Raw genomic sequence first — 22,164 nt, 5'->3', positions numbered from 1 at the left:
AACAAATTCACAATAATATAATATGGGAATTTCAACACTTCTTAGTATTGATAGAAGGAATACATTGCAAATCAGTAAGGATGTAAAAGACTTGAACAGACTATCAACCAATGCTACCTAATTGACATTTATAAAAAATCCCATTCAACAACAAAAGGAAAATTCAAATCAACAACAAAAAGATAACTAGAGAATCCCCCTGACTACTTGGAAATTAAACATCAGACTTCTAAATAAGCCATGTGTAAAAAAGAAATTACAATGAAAAATAAAAGATATTTTAAACTGAAAGAAAAATGAAAACACAACATGTTAAAATATATGAGATGCCACTAAAATGGTGCTTACAGGAACATTTAAGATATTAAATACATGTATTAAGAAAGAAGAAGGCGCTGGGTGCGGTGGCTCACTCCTGTAATCCCAGCAATTTGGGAGGCCAAGGTGGGCAGATTACTTGAGGTCAGGAGTTCGAGACCAGCCTGACCAACATGGTGAAACCCTGTCTCTACTAAAAATACAAAAAATTAGCCAGGTGTGGTGGGAGTGCCTGTAATCCCAGCTACTGGGGAGGCTGAGGCAGGAGAATCACTTGAACCTGGGAGTTGGAGGTTGCAGTGAGCTGAGATTGTGCCACTGCACTCCAGGGTCTAAATTCAATTATTGAAGCTTCCACCTAAAAAGCTAGAAAGAGAAGAACAAATGAAACCCAAAGTAAGCAGGAAGAAAGAAAAAATAATCATAGAAGTCAATGAAATAGAAAATTTAGGAAAGCAGTAAAGAAATATCAATAAAACCACATGCTGTTTTCTTCTGAAAAAATCAATACATTGGTAAACCTATAGCGAGACTTAACAAAAATATGTAAAACACAAATTACCAATATCAGGAATGAAGTAGGGACATCACTACAGAACCTGCAGATATTGAAAGGATAATAAATGACTTTATGCCCGTAAGTTTCGTGATAGATGAAATGAAAAAAATTTCTTAAAATACACAAATTACCAAAGCTCGGTTAAGAAGAAATAGATAATCTGAAGAGCCCTGTATGTATTAAGTTAATGGACTTTGTCATTAAAAATCTTCCCGCAAAGAAAACTCCAGGCCCAGACGGCTTAACTTGTAAATTTAAGGAAGAACTAATACCAATTTTACGCAAACTGTGCCAGAAATTAAGAGAAAAAAACACCTTCCAACTCATGTGATGAAGCAAGCATTACCCTGATGCCCAAATCAAAGACATTTTTAAAATGAAAAGGAAAGCTACAGATTAATAGCCCTCATAAACACAGATGCAAAAATCCTTAACAGAATTTTAGCAAACTGAATCCTTCAATATATAAAAGTGATAATATCTTATGACCAGGTAGCATTTATTCCAGGAACACTAGGTTGTTTTAACATTTGAAAATCAATCAATGTAATTCAATTAATATATTCACAAAGAACAATTGTATGATCATCTCCATAGATGCGGAAAAAGTATTTGATAAAATTGATCACCTGTTCCTGTTAAAAACTCTTAGGAAACAGATTAGAAGTGATAACGAGCTTTTATTTTAAAAAAACCTACAACTAACATTGTACTTAATGCCAAAAGACTGAATACTTTCCCACTCGAGCCAGTAACAAGACAAAGATGTCCATTATTGTCACTTCTGTTCAGTATTGTACTGGATGCCCTAGTCATTGCAGTATTACAATAAAAAGAAATAACAGGCATACAAATTGGAAAAGAAGAAATAAAATGTTTTATTCACATACAACATGATTATATATGTAGAAATTCCTAATCGACAAAAAAGCTACTAGAACTGAAAAAAAAAGTTTAGCAAAGTTGCAGGATACAGCATTAATATATATAAATTACTTATATTTCTCTATACCAGCAATAAACAATGAGAAATTTAAAAAATTTTAAGACCATTTTTTTGACATAAAATATGAAATACTTAGGAATCAGTTTAAGAAAATATATGCAATATTTGTACACTGATAACTGTAAAATATTGCTGAGAAATTAAATAATATCAAAATAAATGGAGAGTATACCATATTAATGGAACATAATACTCAACAAAGTTAAGATGTAAATTCTCCCTAAATTGTTCTATAGATTCAATGCAATCTCAATCAAAATCCAGGGAGGTTTTTTCTTTTAGTAGAAATTGACCTGTAAGTTATATTCAAAAGGGCTAGTACAAGAGCTAATATAGTCGAAATAATTTTGAAAAATAAGACAAAGTTGGAACTACCTGATTTTAAAACTTACTCTAAAGCAAGATAGTGAGCTGTTGGTATAAGGATATACACAGAGTTCAAAAGAACAGAATAGAGAATCTAGAAATAGCACTATGTATATCTAAATAAACACATACACACAGTAGATTTTTGATGAGTGTGCCAAGATAATTCAGTGAAAAAAGGGTATTCTTTTTAGCAGATGGTGCTGGATTAATTGAATCTCCAAATGCAATAAAATGAAAATAAAATGAACCTGACCCTTACCTTAATACTGTATACACAGTTTAATTCAAAATGGATCCTAGGCCTAAATGTAAGAGCTAAAACTATAAAACTTCTAAAAGAAAATGTAGGAGAAAATATTTGTGACCTTGAGTTAGGCAAAAATTGCTTAGATCTGACAAAAGAAATCTTAAAACCTTAAAAGAAAATTTTGACAAATTTGATCAAAATTTAAAAATTTGCATTCATAAGATAGTGTTAAGAAAATAAAAAGGCAAACCTCAGCCGGGGAGCAAATATTTTCAAAACATATATGATAAAAGGCTTGTATCCAGATGTATTAACTTGTACAACTCAATAAATAACCCAATTAAATCCAATTGTTTTTGGGTTTTGTGGTTTTTTGTTTTTTTGTTTTTTTTTGTTTTTTTTTTTTGAGATAGGCTGTTGCTCTGTTGTCCATTCTGGAGTGCAGTGGTGCTGTCATGGCTCAGTGCAGCCTTGATCTCCTGGGCTTAAGCAGTTCTCCCACCTCAGCCTCCAGAGTAGCTGGGACTACAGGCTGGCTAATTTTTTATTTTTCGTAGAGATGGGGTCTCACTATGTTGCTTAGGCTAGTCTCAAACTCCTCGCTTCAAGCAATCCTCCCGCTTCAGCCTCCCAAGGTGTTGGGATTATAGGTGTGAGCCACAATGGCTGTCCCCAATTTTTTTGTTTTAAAGGTAGAAGATTTGAACACACTTCACTAAAGAAGATAAATAAGCACATGAAAATATCCAAATTAAAATGACAATGAGATACCACTATAAAATCACTAGAATGCCTAAAATTAACAAGATTGAGCAAACACATGTTGGTGAGGATGTAGAACAACTGGAACAAAGTACTGATCTATGCAACAATATGGAAGAATTTCAAAAGCATTACACTAAGTGAAAAAAGAGTGTCTATGATTGCATTTCTGTGACATTCTAGAAAGGCAACAATTGTGACAGCAGAGCAGTGGTTGGGAGGGTGCTGACTGCAAAGGGACACAGGGAGCTTCTCAGCATCATAGATAAATTAATATCTTAATTGTGGTGGTATTTAACTTGGCTGTAAACATTTGCCAAAACTTGGAATTGTACAACTAACACTGATGAATTTTATTTGTGTATACATTATGTCTCAGTAAAGCTAAATTTAAATAAAAATAGGCCAGGCATGGTGGCTCACACCTGTAATCCTAGCACTTTGGATGGCAGAGGCAGGCAGATTACCTGAGGTCAGGAGTTCGAGACCAGCCTGGCCAACATAGTGAAACCCCATCTCTGCTAAAAATACAAATTACAGATGGTGGGCGCCTGTAATCCCAGCTACTGAGGAGGCTAAGGCAGGAGAATCACTTGAACCCAGGCAGGGGCAGCGGTTGCAGTGAGCCAAGATCACACCATTACACTCCGGCCTGGGTGACAAGAGCAAAACTCCGTATCAAAAAATAAAAAATAAAAATAAAATCCAAGCCTTCAGTAGTTCTGTAAGCAACATCAACAGTGACTTCTTACGCAGTTCCTACTGCAGGCAGCACCAGCACAATGTGCTTGGGACTTTGGGTCACTGCACTTGGTAGATCTCAGCCGGCACCCACACCATTTCTCAGTTTACCCTGTAGATAGAACAGAACCCATTTGCAATAATTAACCAATGTGAAATGATCTCTACAAATGCTGTGTTTTGCTGTTTCAGGTGCTTAGGAGAACATGCAGTAGAACTTTTCATCAAACAAATGGAACACGTCACAGAATTTTGCTAACATGGACAACTCTGCACAGAAAAATGAACGCACTGGCAAACATCCCAGACGTGCCAGTGAAGTACAGAAAGGTACATGTGTCTTTGCAGGGAGGAGATAGCTCCTGACATATGCTTATTTTAGTACATAAGAGCAAATTTGGGGGGAATAGTAAGTCCTGGGTTATATCCACAGGGCCATCCTTACAGGCATACCAAATAGGTGGCTTTAGGCCCTACTGTTTCAAGTGTGACGATTGGGAAGAAACTGAGAAGAAAGGATGAGAGAAGAAGGAGGAAGTCTGTTAAAAAATAAAAAACTAATAAACAAAACCCAGACTTGTTAGTTCCATGTATCTGGTAAGAATCTCTATCCTCAAATTTAGATATGTAAGAGATCTTTTTTTATTTCCTAGAACTCAACTTGAGTTATGACTGCAAGTCCCCATTCTGCTGGGTTGTTGGAAAGGATAACTCCAGCCATTATCAGCATAAATCCTATCTCCCTCGTGATTGTTTCAAGTTCAGAACTTTCCCAATAGTTAGTGTGATCCCAGGAGGCTGGGTTGGGGTGGGGAGGAATACTCAGGTCATTGGTCAACCATCCACATTGGTGAGATCCCCAGTGTCCCAGCTCATGTGCTCCCTTTGGTTTTGCTAGTGTTCGCCAACTAGTGTTCTGGTTCGTTAGTGTGGCTTAGGAATTATTGCTGAGACAGGAAACCTCATTTTGAGATCCCCCTAGGCTCCAGCGCTTTTTCTTTCGAGGCTGTTACCACCTCCCTGGTGGGCTTCCAGAGTCGCTGCTGCTCTCAAATCCAGAGAGATCTCTCTTTCTTCCTCCTATCCTCTGATTTTGCACTCTCTTTTTCTTTAACATTTCTTTAAATTGAAGCATAAATATATATTCAGAAAAAGTGCACAAATCCTAATTGTATAGCTTAATGAATATTCACAAAGAAAACACCACCTATGGAATAACTTCTCAGACCAAGACAGAATGTCAGCAGCATCTCAAAAGCCCTTGTCCCTTCTCAGATATTATCTCCCTTCCCTGCAAAAGTAAACACTACGGTTATCCTGACTTCTCATATCATTAATAACTTTAGTTTGTTTTTGAATGTTATGTAAATGTGAATCATACAATATGAGCTCTTTTCTCTCAGGCTTATGTTTCAGAGATTTAACTTCATGTTGGTTTGTCTTATCTATGAGTAATTTGTTCATTTTATTACTCTTGTTTGAATACACCACAATTTATTTATCTATTCTACTACTGAAGGACATTTAGGTTGTTTCCAGTTTGGGGCTATTATGAATAAAAACTTCTGTAACTATTCTTGTACTTGTCTTGTGGGACACATATTTATGTATTTCATGGGTCTATACCTGAGGAGTGGAACTGCTGGGTCATAGGGTATGTTTAGGGTAAGCTTAGTTGATATTGCCAAACAGTTTTCCAAAGTAGCTGTGCCAATTTTACCTCCTTACAAGCAATGTATGTGAATTCCAGCTGCTCCAAATCCTCACCAACATTTTAAGCTCATAATAGTTTTAATTTGCATTGCCTGAGATCAATGAGATTGAGCACTTTTTCATGTTGACTGGCCTTTTGGATATTCTCTTTGGAGAAGTGACTGTTCAACTTTTTTGCCCATTTTCTTCTGCTGGGTCTTGTCTTGTCTTTTCTTTTTTTTATTTATAGGAGTTCTTTAAACCATTCTGTCCTTTTCTTATTTATAGGGATTCTTTATTCTAGAAACAAGTCATTTGTTAGCTGTAGGTAAATGTCATCCCTTATCCTGGGACTTTCCTTTTCACTCTCTTAACAATGTGCTAAGACACAGAAACTCTTGATTTTAATATAGCCCAATTTATCAGTCTCTTTATGTTTAGTGTACATGTCTATTTTATTAATACTTAAGAAATCTTTGCCCATCCCAAGATAGTTTCTTCTAGAAACTCTATTATTTTACCTTTTACATCTAGATCTACAATTCACTTGAAATTGTTTTTGATTGAGGAAGATGCCCGAGTCTGTTGTTTTCCATGTTGACCCAGCACCATTTATTGAAAGGCTGCTCATTCTCTACTACTCTGTATTGCTGTTGCTACCTTTGTCATAAATCAAGTGTCCAGGCATATGCAGCTCTGCTTCTTGATTATTTATTCTGTTCAAATATCATACTGTCCTAATTACTGTAACTTTATAATAACTCTTTAGTAGCATAAGCCCTTCAACTTTGTACTTCTTTGTTTATGCTGGCTATTCTTGACCCCAGTGCATTTCCATATAAATTTATTTTACTTTTTTATTTTTAATTTTTATGGATACATAATAGTTGTACATATTTATGGTGCACACATGATATTTTGATACAAGAATATAATGTGCGATGATCAAATCTGGGTAGCTATACAAATTTTACAATCAGCTTATTAATGTCTTAAAAAAACTCTACTCTCATTTTAATTTGGATTGCATTGATTCTAGAAATCAATTTAAGGATAATTTACATCTTTACAATAAATATTAACTTCTCTAATCCATGTATAGATCCTTTTATTTAAGTTACCTTAAATTGTTCTCAATGTTTTGGAGTTTTCTATGTAGAAGTCTTGCATATCTTCATTATATCTATTGTAGGCATTTGATTTTTATGCTGTTATAAATGGTAATTTTAAATTTTATTTTAAATTGTTTGTTGCTGCTGTACAAAAAAATTAATTGATTTTTGTATATTGACCTTGATTCTGGTGACCTCACTAAATCCAACTATTACCTCTTATAGGGTGTCCACAGATTATTTTGCAATTTCCCCATACACAATCTTGTAATCTGTGAAAATGACAACTTTATTTCTTCCTTTCTCATCCATATATTTTATGTATTTTTAATATATTTTATGTAGGCGTTTGTATTGGCTAGAGACCTTCAGTACAACGTTGAATAGAAGGATAATAGCAGTTGTACTAGTTTCACTCCCTGTCTCAAGGGAAAGCCTTTAATATTTCACAATTTGGTATCCTGTTTGCTATAGGCTTTTGTTATAGACACCTTTTATCAGATTAACAAAGTTTGCTCCTATTCCTAGTTTGCTAGAGTTTTTCTTTTAATCATCAAAGGATATTAGATCTTATGAAAAGCTTTTTCTGTATCTACTAAACAGTTACTTCACCAAAAAAAAGATATACAGAGGGAAAATAGCATATGAAGGACTGCTTAGCATCATTAGTCATTAGGGAAATGCAAATTAAAACCATAATGAGATACCATTACATACCTAATGGGATGCCTGAGATTAAAAAGACTTCCCATTGCTGATAAGAATGTGAAGTCATAGAAATTTTCATACGCTAATAGTGGGGATGTGCAAAAGTACAACGACTATGAAAAATAGTTTGACAGTTTTTTAAAAAGTTAAACATATGATCTAGTCATTCCACTCCTAGGCATTTACCCCGCAAAATGAAAGCTTATGTCCATTTAAAGACTTGTAGATAAAATGCTCATAGCAGTTTTATTTGTAATGCCCCCAAACTGGCGACAACTCAAATTTACATCACCAGTGAATAAACATCATGTTTTTATACAATGGAATATTACTCAACAATAAAAAGCAATGGAGTATTGATATATCAGCAACAGAGATGAATCTCATAGTAATTATGCTGAGTGAAAGAAGCCAGACAAAAAGAGTACATGTTACAGGTATATGATTTTTTTAATCTGTTGAGATACTCGTATGGTTTTTCTTTTTTAGTCCGTTAATATGATGAATTATATTGATTTTTAAATATTAAACTATTTTTGCATTACTGGGGTTGGTCACGATGTATTATCTTTTTATATATTGTCTGGTTTGATTCGCTAAAATTTTTCTAAGGATTTATGTATTTATGTTTATGAGGGCTGCTGACCTCTAGTGATCTTTTTCCCTCTTGTAATGATGCCATATAGTTTTGGTATCAGGTAGTGGTTGCCTCATTGAATGAGTTTGGAAATGTCTTTTCCTCTTCAGTTTTCTGGGACAGCTTGTATGGAATTGATAGGTGGAGTGTTCTATAAATGCCAATTAGGTCAGGTTAGGTAATAGTTTTGTTCAGGTTTCATATATCTTTACTGATCTATCTACTTGTTTAAATTATCGAGGGAGATGTTTTGAGATCTCTGACTATAATTGTGAAATTTTCTATTTTTTCTCGCAGTTTTATCAGTTTCTGCTTCTTATATTTTCAATCTCTTTTTATTGGGTACATCAGCATTTAGGACTGTTATGTTCTCTTGAGGAGCTGACTGCTCATAATGACCCCATTATGAAATGACCCTCTTTATTGCAGGTAATATTTTTTGCTCTGAAATCTACTTTATCTGATAATATCTAACTATCTTTTGATTAGTGTTAGCATAGTAAATCTTTTTCCATTATTTTACTTTTAACTTATTTCTGAGTTTATATTTCAAGTATGTTTCTCCAAGGTAACATATAGTTGGGTCTTTCTTTCTTATCCAATCTGAGAATCTCTGTTTTTTAATTGGGATATTTAGATTATTTACATTTAATGTGATTATTGGTGTATAAGTTTAAGTCTATCATCTTGTGACTTGCTTTCTATTCGTCCCATCTGTTCTTTATTTACCTTTTCTCTGTCTCTTGTATTATTTTTAATGCTTCAATTTTATCTCCTTTGTTAGCCTATTAGGAATAACTCCTTGTAGTATTTTCCTAGTGGTTACCTTAAAGCAACAGTTGGCAAACTTTGCTCCTTGGACCAAATCTGACCCACTGCCTATTTCTATTAATAAAGTTTTATTGGAACACGGCCACCCCAGTTTGTTTATGTATTGTCTGTGGCTGCTTTTACTCCATAATGGCAGCACTGAATAGTTGCCACAGAGAATAAATAGACTGCAAAGACTAAAATATTTACTATCTAGCCAGGCATGGTGGCTCACACTTGCAATCCCAGAACTTTGGGAGGCTGAGGCAGGAGGATTGCTTAAGCCCAGGAGGTCAAGGCTGCAATGAACTATGACTGCACCACTGCACTCCAACCTGGGCAACAGAGCAAGACCCTGTCTCAAAATATAGATCAATAAGATAGATAGATGATAGATAGATAGATAGATAGATAGATAGCTATAGATGGATAGATAGATAGACAGATATGTACTATCTGGCCCTTAGAAAAAGTTCGTTGATCCCTACATACTTTAGAGTTTATAGTATATATCTTTAACTTATCATGGTCTACCATCAAGTGATATTATAACACTTCACATATAGTAGAAGAACCTTAAAACAGTATATTTTTATTTTTCCCTTCCTGGCCTTTATGTTATTGTTGTTAAACATTTTACTTGTACATATGGTATAAACCCTACAAAACAGTTGTTATTTTTGCTTTACATAAATTTTTTTTTTTTTGAGATGGAGCCTTGCTGTGTCGCTCAGGCTGGGGTGCAGTGGCGCAGTCTTGGCTCACTGTAACCTACACCTCCTGGGTTCAAGCAATTCTCCTGATTCAGCCTCCTGAATAGCTGGGATTACAGGCACCTGCCACCATGCCTGGCTAATTTGGTGAGGAGGCCTCCCAAAGTGCTGGATTACAGGCTACCACACCCGGCCAGTAATCATTACTTTTTAAATGTTTAAAATGTTATATTTAAATTATTCAAGGCTGGGTTTGGTGGCTCATGCCTGTAATCCCAGCACTTTGAGAAGCCGGGGCGGGCAGATCATGAGGTCAGGAGATCGAGACCATCCTGGCTAACACGGTGAAACCCCGTCTCTACTAAAAATACAAAAAATTAGCCGGGCGCGGTGGCGGGCGCCTGTAGTCCCAGCTACTCGGGAGGCTGAGGCAGGAGAATGGCGTGAACCCGGGAGGCAGAGCTTGCAGTGAGCCGAGATAGCGCCATTGCACTCCAGCCTGGGCGCAAGAACGAGACTCCGTCTAAAAAAAAAAAAAAAAAAAAAAATTGTTCAATTTATACTCATAATTTTATATTTTCTATTTACCCACATATTTACTATTTCCAGAGCTTCATTCCTTTATGTGATTCAGATTTCCTACTGGTATCATTTTCTTTGGCCTGAAGGGCTTCCCTTAACATTTCTTGTAGCTCCCATTTGCTGATGATTCTTTCAATATTTATATAGTTTTAAAAGTTTTTATTCTGCTTTTGCTTTTGAAGATATTTTTACTGAGTACAGGATTCTAGGGTGACAGGTTTTTTTTTTCCTTTTATTGCCTTAAAGGTGTTGTTTTCAGTATCAATCTGCTGTCATTCTCGTATTTGTTTCTTCATATGTGACATGTCTTTTTTCTCTGCCCAATTTTAACATTTTCTTCTTATCACTTTTTAAGCAATTTGATTATGGTTGGCCTACGGTGTCATTTTCTTCATGTTTCTTGTATTTGATGTTAAGTGACTTTCTTGAATCTGTGAGTCAATAGTTTTTTTAATCAAATTTGGAAAAATTTCAACCATTTTTTCTTGAACTATTTTTTTCTATTTCTTCTCTCCTCATATTTCTTTTTTTGAGAGCCTGATTACATATATATTAGGCTCCTCAAAGTTTCCACACAGCTCACTAATCCTTTTTCTTGTCCTTTTTCTGTTTTATTTTGTATAGTTTTATTTCTAGGTCTTCAAGTTTACTAATCTTTTTTTCCTCTAATGTCTAATTTGCTATTCATCTCATCTAGTGTATTTTTAATCTCAGACATTTAGTTTTCACATCTGGTAGTTCGATTTGGATCTTGTCATTATATCTTCCATATCTACTTAATATGTTCAGTCTTTTCTCTGGCTTCTTGAACATATGAAATACAGTTAGTGCAGCAGTTATAATGTTCTTCTCCACTAATTCTATCATCTGTATCATTTCTGAGTTGGTTTTGATCATTTATTTTCTCCCCACTTTGAAGTATATTTTTCCTTCTTCCTCCTATTAATTTTTTATCAATGCCAGGTATTTTGAATTTTACCTCTTAGGTGCTATTTTTGTAGTCCCATAAATATTCTTGTGCTTTGTTCTGAGATGCAGTTAAATTATTTGGAGACAGTTTGATCTTTTCAGGTCCTGCTTTAAAGCTTTGTTAGCTGGAACCAGAGCAGTATTTAGTCTAGGGGTAATTTTGCCCCATTTCTGAGGCGAAACCCTCCTGCATACTCTATGTTCCATGAATTATGAGGTTTTCCCGCTGTGACTCATGAAAACAGGAGCTATTCCCGGCCCTGTGGAAGCCTCAGGGATTGCTCACTTGAATTCTGCCAGGCGGTTCCTTCTCCAGCCCTGGGTAGTTTTCTCATGCCATGTGTTGGTCAATACCCAGGAACTTACTCAGGGGACCCCGTTGCAGAGCTCCATAGCTCTCCATCTGGGTAGCTCTCTCTTCTCTGGTACTCTGCTCTGTGAACTTAGCTGTCTTGGTCTTTCTGGACTCCCAGATCTATTTCCTCAACTCAGGAAGACCACGGGGCTCCATCTGGATCCCTTCTTCCTGTGCTGTGGTCTTGAGATTTTCTCCTGGCAGAAAGCTGGGGACCATCTTATTGCCAACCTCATTTACTTTGCTTCTCTCAGGGATCCCTGTCCTTTGTTGCCTGATGTCCAGTATCTTGATTGCTTTATATATCTTGCCCATTTTTAACTTTTTTTTTCCAGCTGGGAGGGCAAATCTAGTCCTGTTTTGGTAAGAAATAGGAGTTCAGTCATCCAGAGTGTTTTTCAAAAATTCTACTTTTTAAATTGTTTCATCAAGAGGGCTGCTCTGACACATGCATTTCTGTTATAGCCAGAAGCCTTGGATCTCCTTTCCAGTCAGGCAGAAACCTCTCCTTTCCCCAGGAGAATGTCCTTCCTTTAACCTTTTTTAAATAACTCTCTTTTTACTGCCTCCTCTGCACACTCTCTTAGCTGTTCTATAGGCTTAGGCTTTTAGAAACAAAAGCCAGGAAGTCTTGCAGCTGCTTCTGCCTTTTGATTTGCTGTATAGCTCTCTTAAAGCAAACAAACCAAAAACATAGCCATTCATCTACTTAAATGGGGAGGGGAGGAGAAGAATACATTTACTGTATATTGGTATCCCCAAATATTTTCTACTTAAACACGTATTCAGCTCCTTTTACTTGCTTCATCCTCCACCCAGGCAGATTAGGCTTCAGTGTCCCTCTCCCCATCGTGTTTATTGAGCACTTACTAGAGGCCAGCTCAGGAAGAGGAAGCACAGCTCAGAGCTCAAGAGCCTGGACTCATTAGGCAAATCATGTTCACACCCTACCTGTTCCGCTTAAGTGCTGGGTGATTCGGATGAGTAACTTAATCCCTCTAAGCCTCAGTTTCCTCAACTGTGAAGCTGGTTCATGATTGTACCCCTTGAGGGGTCCCTGTTGTCTTCAGGCTTCCTGCTCTGAAAAGGAGTATTGTTTTTTAAAAAAATTCAGAGATGAAGAAATGAGCCTTACTGATAGTTTCCATACAAACCACCCTCTGTCATGGCTAACACATACTTTCTTCTTTCCTTCTCTTGACTGTTTTTTTTCCCCCATTTCTGCGCGTATTTCCTCTCTGAAGGTTAGGATTCTGATGTTAAAATAATTTGGCTTACTGTTGTGAACAGCCTACAGAGTCAGGATGCACCCCCCCACCCAAAATTTGGTTTGGATGTCAAGACTTACGGTGCCACACACACGCTCATGAAGAGTGTAGGAAAAGGCTTATCACCCACATAGTGAGGCCTTCTGAGGACAGCAGCACAGCCTTCCTAACCTGATCCAATAATGGCTTGAGAGAGCAGGGAAAGGAGCCTGGCTTGGGGGTTTTCTTATGGTTGGAAAGCGAGGCTGGACTGAGGGCAGGGGTCTGCGTGGTTTGAACTTCCAGCTGGTGCCACAGGAGGGAGCTCTGGGCTTTCTCATCCGCTTGCCCAGTGGTAGGGCAGAAGGGAATGAGGGAGTGGTGAAGCTGAAGAGCTATCAGCCATCAAACATCAAAAAACTGGAGTCAGAGTCCATTACACTTACAGGTTAGAGTCTATAATCAACCTGCTATGCAGACAGATGCTGCCAAGTTCTAGCAGTTGTGGAAGTCTCAGCAGGAGGGGAGTTTATACATCAGACATGCATGTATACATCGCAGCCTAGACAAAGGAACTTTTAACTTCAGTTTCTATAGATGATCCCTTTCTGCTTTTTAACCCCATGTCTGCTCAAAACAGAAACGAAAACTTACACCTGTCTTGCACAGTGCCCTGAAAAGTGAGAGCCAGCCCCAGGCTGGGATTTCCCTAACCTCTTTGGATTTTAACGGCCTAATGCTGGTGTCTGAATCTAGGCCAAGGAGCAGTGAGGACGCTTCCTCTGTCCTGACCGCGCCTCGTCCAGGCTGCTCCCAGAATAGTTTTGCTGTCTCCTTCCTGCCTGGCAAGAATGTCTTTACTATCATCTCCTTCCTTTTCTCCGGGACAGCCTGTTTAAGGTACTTTATGTGACCACATCTCACTAATTTAAGAGCTGGAGGGGGGAAGTCCGATAAATTGCCGAGAGGGAAAGAAAGTGGGGAATTTTTTTTTTAATCCGGTTTCGTGTCTGTTTCCTGTCAAAAGGCAAGTTTCTCTTCTCTACCATTTAAAATAAAACTTTAATATACACCTTTGTGTTTTCCACATTTGTCAATCATTGTTTTGTATTCATTTTGATTTTACTCCATTTTTGTTGTTTAGGTTTTACTGCTGCATATCCAACACAATCCTCCATTCCTTTTAAATCTCAAGCTTCAGTAATCCCAGAATCAGAAAAAAAAGGATTCAATAGTCAAGCCAAGAGATTTCCTCATAAGAAGGTAATGACGTTGTCTCAGGGGTTCTTTCGTTTTAGTCTGGATTTTAGCCTTGCGGGACAGGCACGTTCTGTCTGGCTGCTGTGTCTTTCTGTGGACAGTGGAGGGCAGTGTGCTCCCAGGAGCCGCGGCACCAGCTCCACTGAGGGGCACCGACTGGACTAACTGTAAGAACGAGCCTGAAAAATGGGACATCCAGGGAAAAACAACTGTGTCTGGATTTATGGCGCCAAAAATATTGAACTGGACCAAAACTATTTTAAGAAAACAATATATTTTAAAAATCATCATAAAGCTAAAAAATTGCAAAAATTCCCAAGTGTTATCAATTAAGTAAAAGATTAAAAAAAAATCTTCCCCATCCTTGTGAGAGGAAATCACATGACTTCAAATAACACAAGAGGAAAAGAAGAGTCGAATACATCTAGAATTACCTTTGGAGGGCCGGGCACGGTGGCTTATGCCTGTAATCCCAGCACTTTGGGAAGCTGAGGTGGGAGAATTAATTGCTTGAGCCAGGAGTTTCAGATCAGCCCAGGCAACATAGCAAAACCCAATCTCTACAAGAAAAGAAAAGAAAAGAAAAAAGTACAAAAATTAGCTTGGCATAGTGGTGTGTGCCTGTAGACCCAGCTACTCAAGAGGCTGAGGAAGGAGGATCACCTGAACCGAGGAGGTCGAGGCTGCATTGAACCAAGATAGCGCAACTGTACCCTAGCCTGGGTGACAGAGCTAGACCCTGTCTGAAATTAAAAAAAAAAAAATTACCTTTGTAATGAGCCCTGCCCTACTTTAAAAACAAAAAAACAAAAAACAAAAAAAACTTCCTTAAACAATGTGTTATTAGCCGGGTGCAGTGGCTCACACCTGTAATCCCAGCAGTTTGGGAGGCCAAGGTAGACAGATCACCTGAGGTCACAAGTTCGAGACCAGCCTGGCCAACATGGTGAAACCCCATCTCTACTAAAAATACAAAAATTAGCTGGGAGTGGTGGCGCACACCTGTAGACCCAACTACTGCCTCTCCTGAGGCAGGAGAATCACATGAACCTAGGAGGCAGAGATTGTAGTGAGCCGAGATCGCACTACTGGACTTCAGCCTGGGCGACAGAATGAGACTCCATCTCAAAATCACCACCACCACAACAACAATGTGTTATCATATTCCTGTGTCACCCACCACCCCCCCTTCCCTAAATCTTGCCGCATCTCTTTTCCTCTCTAACCTGGAAAGTTCTGCGTGGTTCCTGACCGGTCCTTATTTAATCTTTGGGATTTCTGGGACCTGACTTTCTCCTCTCTCACCAGCAGGGGACAGAAGCAACTCACAGGCGTCCTTAGAGTCTAAAAAGTTTTTCATTCCTTCATTCATTTAAGCAAGACCTTTAGAATACTGTTCTTTTGGAGGAGTCCTCATTTCACATATCTTTTGCTGCACTCTAAAAATGGTTTTCATCTTATTACCTTGCCCAGATGGCAGAGAGGGAATGAGGAGATCTAGGTTCTGAACGGAGCCAAGGCATGGAGTGAGGGGCCTTGGCCAGCCCTGGTGCCCTCAGCCTGATTCCTCCTTGGTAGATGAGAACGCTGAACTAGAGAATGTTTCAAGTTTCTTCCACTTCTGATATTTTAGGATTCTAAGAAAGCAAATAATAAAGAATAGAGTGTACGCACACAAACACACACACACAGTTTTAAATCACTTGTAGGTTTTCTCCAAAGATAATACATATTTGCTCAGGAGTTTTCTTCTCTCCCTAGTTTCTCTGTTTTAACTGTTTGGCTCTTTCCCATTTTCTGTCTGGTTTCCCATTTGTCAATTTAATGATAATATATTGTCCCTCTCCAGGATATTTGCAGCCCAGCCTCCGATAAAAACAATAGCAGCCACCATTTACTTATCCTTACTATGTGTACTTTTAGACTGCCTTTTATCTCTAATCCTCAGAACAATGCTGAAAGGAAGGGTTTATTATTTTAATTTAACAGAAGAGGAAACCGAGGCTTAGGGAAGTTCAATGACCCACCCAAGGTCACACAATGCAGGGTTTGGCACTTAAGAGGCTCAAAGTAAATGTTTGCTGAATCAATGTTGAAAGAATTAGACCTCAACCCAGGTCTAGTTCACTCCAAAGCCTCTTGCTCTTTCCACACACTGCACCACACCTGCCTTTGTGGCCCGCAAAGCTGTAAATTTGGCCTGTGAAAGTCAGCAAGTTTCTGAAAAGGCCTTAGCAACACAGACCAAGCTGAAGACAGGGGAGGATGTCAGCTACCGTGGATGGGCCCCATTCCCCGTGATCTAGTTCTGAACACTCAAATTCAGAAAGCAAGCCGGCTCACTTGTCAAGTTAGTGTTTTAAAAGATGATTGCTTCTCAGAACGTTTTTGACTAAAGGAACCAAGGAGGCAGGTAGCCAAACCTACAGGCAGCATCGAATAGAGATGGGAATTGCTCAGAGATTGGGTTCCAACTTTTTAAATGTGGTCGTGTTACTTGACAACATGAAAACTTTCATCTCAGCATTTGTAAGCATTTTAGAAATAAGGATGGAATTTTATGGAAAGGGCAGGGGATCCATCAATCAGGCTTTCCGTGTCCTACTCTGTCACTGGCTGTGTGCCTTTAAACCAGTCACTTGACTTTTCTGGGCTTCAGTTTCCTCAACTGAAACATAAAATTTGTATTATATAATTTTTGTGGTCTCCTCAAGTTATAAAAACAGAAAAACAAATTCCTATTCTATGTTCGTTCTCATTTTTCCCGAGGGAAATGGCCATTGAGAAGTTAAAGATCTTGTTTAACATCACCTGATAATTTAGTGAGGCAATACAAATTAAAGACAGATTTGAAAACTCCAGGGCTTCACCACCCTTCTTAAAGCATTAGTCACCCACACCGTTGCTCCAGATCGAACATGGCTGCCTCCTCGCAGTAGTCCTGTGGCCCACCTTAGCACATCTTTGACACAGAGAATCAGTGCCCTTTGAAATGTGCACTTACCTTGTGAGGCTAACTTTGCAGTGAACCATCAAGGTCTCCTTGCCCAGCTCACATTCCCCATGAGAATCTTACTGCAGAGTACAGTGAATCCTTCACAGAGCTCAGTGTCGGGACTGGCAATTTTGGCTGCTAGAAATGAAGTCTGTTTTCCTGAACATTTTCGAGTTATTTACAGATGTGCTGGTAACTTTGCGTAGGTGAAGAGACATGCCTGATCTATGTGGCAGAGCATGGCCCAGCAGCCTGCCGGCCATTTTCTACCCCCGCCTCCCTGTTTCTGTCTCCACTTCACCCTGGATTGTGGTCACTGTTTCCCAAACTGTGTACCCCTAAGGACACCACTTAATGTCTTTGCTTCTCTGTTTCCTCATCCTAAAAATAAAGATGTTGTAATAGGTAGGTAAGCCCTTGCCAGGAATGAGTATTTCATGGTTCTACACCTCATCCCTTCCAGGCTTGAATAAATAAATACAGGTAGGACATAGGTACCATGTGCTCTAGATGGGCACAATTTAAAAATATATGTTAATACCATTACATAGTAAATCTACCCTCCCAAATGGGAAGCCAGCCAGTGGTTAATTTGTGATGAAATCGTACAAAGTTAATATTGTTCACTTATTAACTTGATATGACACTAGACCAGGGATGTTTAAATGAAAGAGGTTCAGTTTGCAGAAGTCACCATGTTCAAGGGGACAGCTGCCCCAAGTGTGCCCTCAGCTGCATATCTGACCCACAGTAGGGTCTGTCCTGCCTCCCTGCTCTGTGAAGCCTGACTTCTCTGTATCAGTCACCAGTACCCCTTCCTAAGGGGTCTGCAAACACTGGGCTGGCACTCATGACATGCCAGGTACCCCTCAAAGACCTTTGCATTTATTACCTCATTTAATCCCCATAATAACCCCATGAGCTAAATCCCATCATTATCCATACTTTTCAGATAATGATCCTGAGATGAAAAGAGGGTGAAGTAGCTGGTGCAGTGGAGGCTGGGCAGAGTGAGGATGAACCCAGGTAGCAGCTCCTGGTCCTCAGACCCTGTTTCCCCAGCATCTTCCCGAGGTGGAGGCACCTCCCACAGCTCGTCTTATGCCCTTGACACAAGGTTAATGTGTGTGCTGTCTTACCTCCACCACCTGCCTAGGAGCTCCTTGGGCAGTGGTCATTGCTGTCCTTTCCAGACCCCACAAACCCCTCAAAAATGGATCAAATGCCCCCAACTCAAATCTGCGCATTTCCCATGGAGTCACGACCACACATCCATCCATGAGCACTGTTGTGATACATCTCCTTCCTCCCATTCCTAAACCCTGTGAGCTGCTAACAGGTTGCGCCTGTATCTTCCATCCTTGGCACAGGTCCTGATGCACAGTAGGTTTCAATCAGTGTCCGCTAAATTGCATTTTTGCCCCCATCCCACGCAGGGCACTTCAACAGGCTGCTAATAAGCTGCTCAGTCCCACTCTGAAGGTTTGTGACTCCCAAGGGAGGGTCCTGGCTCCATGGAGGCAGTAGCAGGCAACATCGTGCGTGGTGATGGTGATGGTGATGATGATGATGGCGGGCCGCATCGGCGCTGTTCCACCCACTTTATGTGTATTGACCCCTTCAATCCTCACACTTAGAGGCAGCAAAGGAGACAGTGGGTAGGGCTTCCCTAGAGCACTAGTAAATGCGAGTTCTCTTCCCTTCTCCCTCCCCATACATGTTTTTGTTTTGTTTGTTTATTTGGTTTTTGCCAAGAAACCAAGGAGTGGCTAAGTTCACACCAGTCACAACTTGGATTCTCGTTCTCTGGGATTTGCTCTGAGAGGCTAAATTCATCCAAGTCACAGAATGTCAGTCGCAGGAACTGTTTTTGCACAGGCGAAAGGCCTCTCTGAGGGTGGCATCCGCCCACCTCTAGAAGTCACAGGAGAACGCTTGACATTTCCCTCCCAGAGACCTACTTGGGCGTTGCACGAAGGCGGTGGTGTGCTGGTCAACCACCATTTACCCTCCTCGAAGAAAAGTGCTGAGATGTAGCATCTGCCCGTTTTTGTGACATAAATACTGCCACCGTGGCCAACTTCAAGCCACCAGCAGCAACATTTTGGAATTTTTAACAGTTGTCCTCACAAGCTGCCGCTGGCCAGCTCCAGCTGCCGCTGCCTGGAGGACTCTCTTTTTGCTCACTAAGAACAAACAGGCAGCACTCCATTCCTCCAGGCTAAGTGGTAACAGCCTTCTTGCCATTTGCCTTGGACTCAAGCCAGTATGCAAAGTGGCAGAATTAAAGTGTGTTAAAGCCCAGGAAAGTTGTGAGCTTCAGCAAATGAAAACACGAGATGTCCAGTTAAATTAGAATTTCAGATAAATGGCAACTCTGTTAGTACAAGTATGTCCCAAATATTGCATGGGATATACTAAAATCATCATCTGCAGTTTATCTGAAATTCTAATTTAACTGGGCAGGTAGGATGGAGCCGGCATTTAGGTCTTGCATTTTGTCTGGAACCCCTAGCTCCTCAGACACATATGAGTGCTCAGAAAATTCTTGCAAACTGATGGTCAGGTTCAGAGTGTGGTGATAACCGGGAGCTAGAGGTGTGTGTCTTCACTATCTACTATTTAAACCTAGAAGAGTCACAGTGACACTTCCTGTGTCAGCTTTCCTAGATTCAGGGACTCTGGAAGCTCAAAAGCACCCAAGGCCCAACACCTTGGACTTACAAATAAGGAAGCCCAGAGAGGTGACTTGCTCAAGATCACTTAGCGTGTGGCAGCACTGAGACTACAATTTCTGATTCATAACCCGGTGGGGATTTTTTTAATCCTATGTAATCTCATTTGAGAATTAGTTTGGTTTCGTGGTTAAGAGCAGACTCTGTGGTCAGAATGCCTCGGTTCTGGCTCTGACATTTACTAGTTATGTGGGCCTTATCTCTTTTGGCCCCAACTTCTTTAAAATGGAGATTAAGTGAGCTAATAGTACATGTAAAGTCCTCAGAACAGTGCATGGCACAAAATGAGCACTCGAGAAATTGATGCTTGCCCTGAAAACAGTTGCCTAGAAAAATCTCTTCCTTGTCTCCCCATAGCCCTTCGCATCTGCATCCACAACACGAGGGTTCTCCTGGGCTCTCGGCCTGGGGTGCTGGAGTACCTGGCTCCACAGTGCCTCCTGCTGCCTGCCTCACTCTCCATGGCAGTCAGTTCCTCTTCCGTCCACCGGGGATCATTCTCACCTAAAGCAGGAATCAGCACCCCTGTCGTCACCTCCCATGGGGCAAGGGTGAAAGGACTCACTGCATTTAAAAGTCAGCACAGAAGAACCCGTTAACAGCACTTTGACCCTATCCCTTATATGAAACCATAATTACACACTGCCCAGCCAGACTGGAAAGTCCTGGAAGGCACTGATGGTACCTTGGGCTTTCTACCCTAAGGAAGGCAGTAGGGATGGTGGAGACAGGACAGGCCTGAGTGGCAGAGATTGGAGACAGCAAGCTCTGGAGTCGGGCTGTCTCGGTTCAGCTCTGGGGTTTGCCACTTACTAGCTGTGTCTCTGGGCCTCACTTTCCTTAAAGTAGCCCTGATCATACCTCACTGTAAAAGGCTTGTTGTGAGGAGTAAACAAGACAGCACACACCGTGCGCTTGGCACTGAAGTCAGGTACTGCCACTTACAGCAGCGGGACCTTGGGCAAATTCATCTCCACGTGCCTTAGTGTCTCCATTTATCAACGGGGGACAGTAATCCCTTCATCACTGGCTGATGGTGAAAATGAGACCAACTTTGAAAAGCTTCTGACACCAAGCAGGTACCCAGGAACCTCTTGCCACAGTGGAGCATCCTTAGCATTTCACACCACTCAGCCAACTTCTGTCAACATTTACTTCCCCCTGGTAACTAGCATGGGAAATGCAATGAAAGCCCGATGAGCTCCCGCAGCAGAAATGAACTTGGAAGTGACCTCTCACTTATTCCTCTCTCACATGCCTGCATCATTCAGCACTTGAGCCTCAAGAGCTTGCCTCTTTTTGTCTGAGAGTTAGAAATGGCCTGGTTTGGGTTGAAGGTTGTTTTTGTTTCATTTTGCTTTATAAACAGAAACACTCCCTGGTTTCTCTTCTGAAAGGCTGAGGAGGAAGCTGAGTCAGGTGGGGTGGGGTGAACATGAAATCGCTCACCCTTCCCTTGCCGTGGGTCTGGCTTACCCAATCACTGCACACTGACTTGCACATCAGCCGCATTCAGTGTCCCACTTTAGGCCCATTTCTCTAATGACTTGAAAAAACAACTGTGTTCTTTTGGAATGCGGCAGGGCATAGTGGAAAGAGCAAGGGCTTTGGGAGTCTAGCCTGGCTTGGAATTCCAGCCCCACCACTTGGTAACTGAGACGAAGATCGGGCAAGTCAGGAAATGGTGGAGCTAGGCTGTCACCCACCAAGTGGTGGTAGCGCCTGTGCTGTGGGATTACAGTAAGGCTTAGTGTTAATGGATGTAAAGCCTGTGGAAAAGCACAATGGAATTGAAGTATCTCGATGACACCACCTTCTCTTCCCTTTCAGAATGATATCCCAGGACCTGGGTTCTACAATGTTATTCACCAGTCACCGGTGTCCAACAGTGTCTCATTGTCCAAGAAAGGAACTTGCATGTTTCCCTCAATGGTGAGAACCACTTCTCTTGAGTAAAGCATTAACTGGTCAGTAATTTCCTTCATTCATTGCATAATTATATATTGGACATCTGGTCCTTTCTCTCCAAAGGCCTATGGTTCTAATTAGGAGAGTAACTGCCTCCTCAAATTTCATGCAAGTAAATTGGACCCTGTGTCTCTAAGTAACTTTTTCCCATCTCTACCCACTGCCAGGGTGGGAAGAGAAGCCAGAGGAATCTTGAGAACTTGATCCTTCCAAACCAATTTTGTTATCACTGAGTGCACTAAGCAAGTATTTTCCTGAGATGTTTAGGCATGCCAGGAAATAGTTACTCTTACACATCTTGGTGTAATATGATTTTTACAATGCTTAATCTAATTGGTTGTCAAACTATTGAGAAATCTGATAGGACTAAAAAGAAAGC

The 22,164-nt window shown here is 40.1% G+C and overlaps 1 protein-coding gene across 6 annotated transcripts in view, besides 3 other annotated features; it reads left to right on the top strand.

The window, feature by feature from the left end:
- The window catches only part of STPG1 (sperm tail PG-rich repeat containing 1), a 58,046-nt gene that overhangs the window by 9,394 nt on the left and 26,488 nt on the right, over positions 1–22,164 (top strand). For 3 of the 6 annotated variants that reach the window (XM_011542403.3, XM_047433681.1, NM_178122.5), the window contains 2 exons: positions 4,195–4,332; positions 21,648–21,749. In XM_011542403.3, coding sequence (XP_011540705.2) covers positions 4,285–4,332; positions 21,648–21,749 — 150 coding nt within the window. In that variant the 5' untranslated portion in view covers positions 4,195–4,284. Of the gene's footprint in view, positions 1–4,194; positions 4,333–13,583; positions 13,728–13,971; positions 14,091–21,647; positions 21,750–22,164 lie in introns of all 6 variants that reach the window. The other 3 variants (NM_001199012.2, NM_001199013.2, NM_001199014.2) reach the window with 2 other exon arrangements.
- Positions 13,344–13,593: an enhancer, noted in NCBI's record as "active region_399". NCBI's record gives its function as "activates an Ori minimal core promoter by ATAC-STARR-seq in GM12878 lymphoblastoid cells {active_cell/tissue: GM12878}" and the evidence as "EXISTENCE:reporter gene assay evidence [ECO:0000049][PMID:35858748]".
- Positions 17,649–17,875: a silencer, noted in NCBI's record as "fragment chr1:24714266-24714492 (GRCh37/hg19 assembly coordinates)". NCBI's record gives its function as "represses an EF-1alpha promoter that drives an FKBP-Casp9 reporter gene in an ReSE screen in HepG2 liver carcinoma cells {active_cell/tissue: HepG2}" and the evidence as "EXISTENCE:reporter gene assay evidence [ECO:0000049][PMID:32094911]".
- Positions 21,082–21,131: an enhancer, noted in NCBI's record as "active region_398". NCBI's record gives its function as "activates an Ori minimal core promoter by ATAC-STARR-seq in GM12878 lymphoblastoid cells {active_cell/tissue: GM12878}" and the evidence as "EXISTENCE:reporter gene assay evidence [ECO:0000049][PMID:35858748]".

This window comes from Homo sapiens, chromosome 1 (assembly GCF_000001405.40).
Source record: "Homo sapiens chromosome 1, GRCh38.p14 Primary Assembly".
Lineage (NCBI taxonomy): Eukaryota > Metazoa > Chordata > Mammalia > Primates > Hominidae > Homo > Homo sapiens.
Note: the sequence above shows the minus strand (reverse complement) of the source record. Positions and strands in the feature narration are given on the sequence as shown.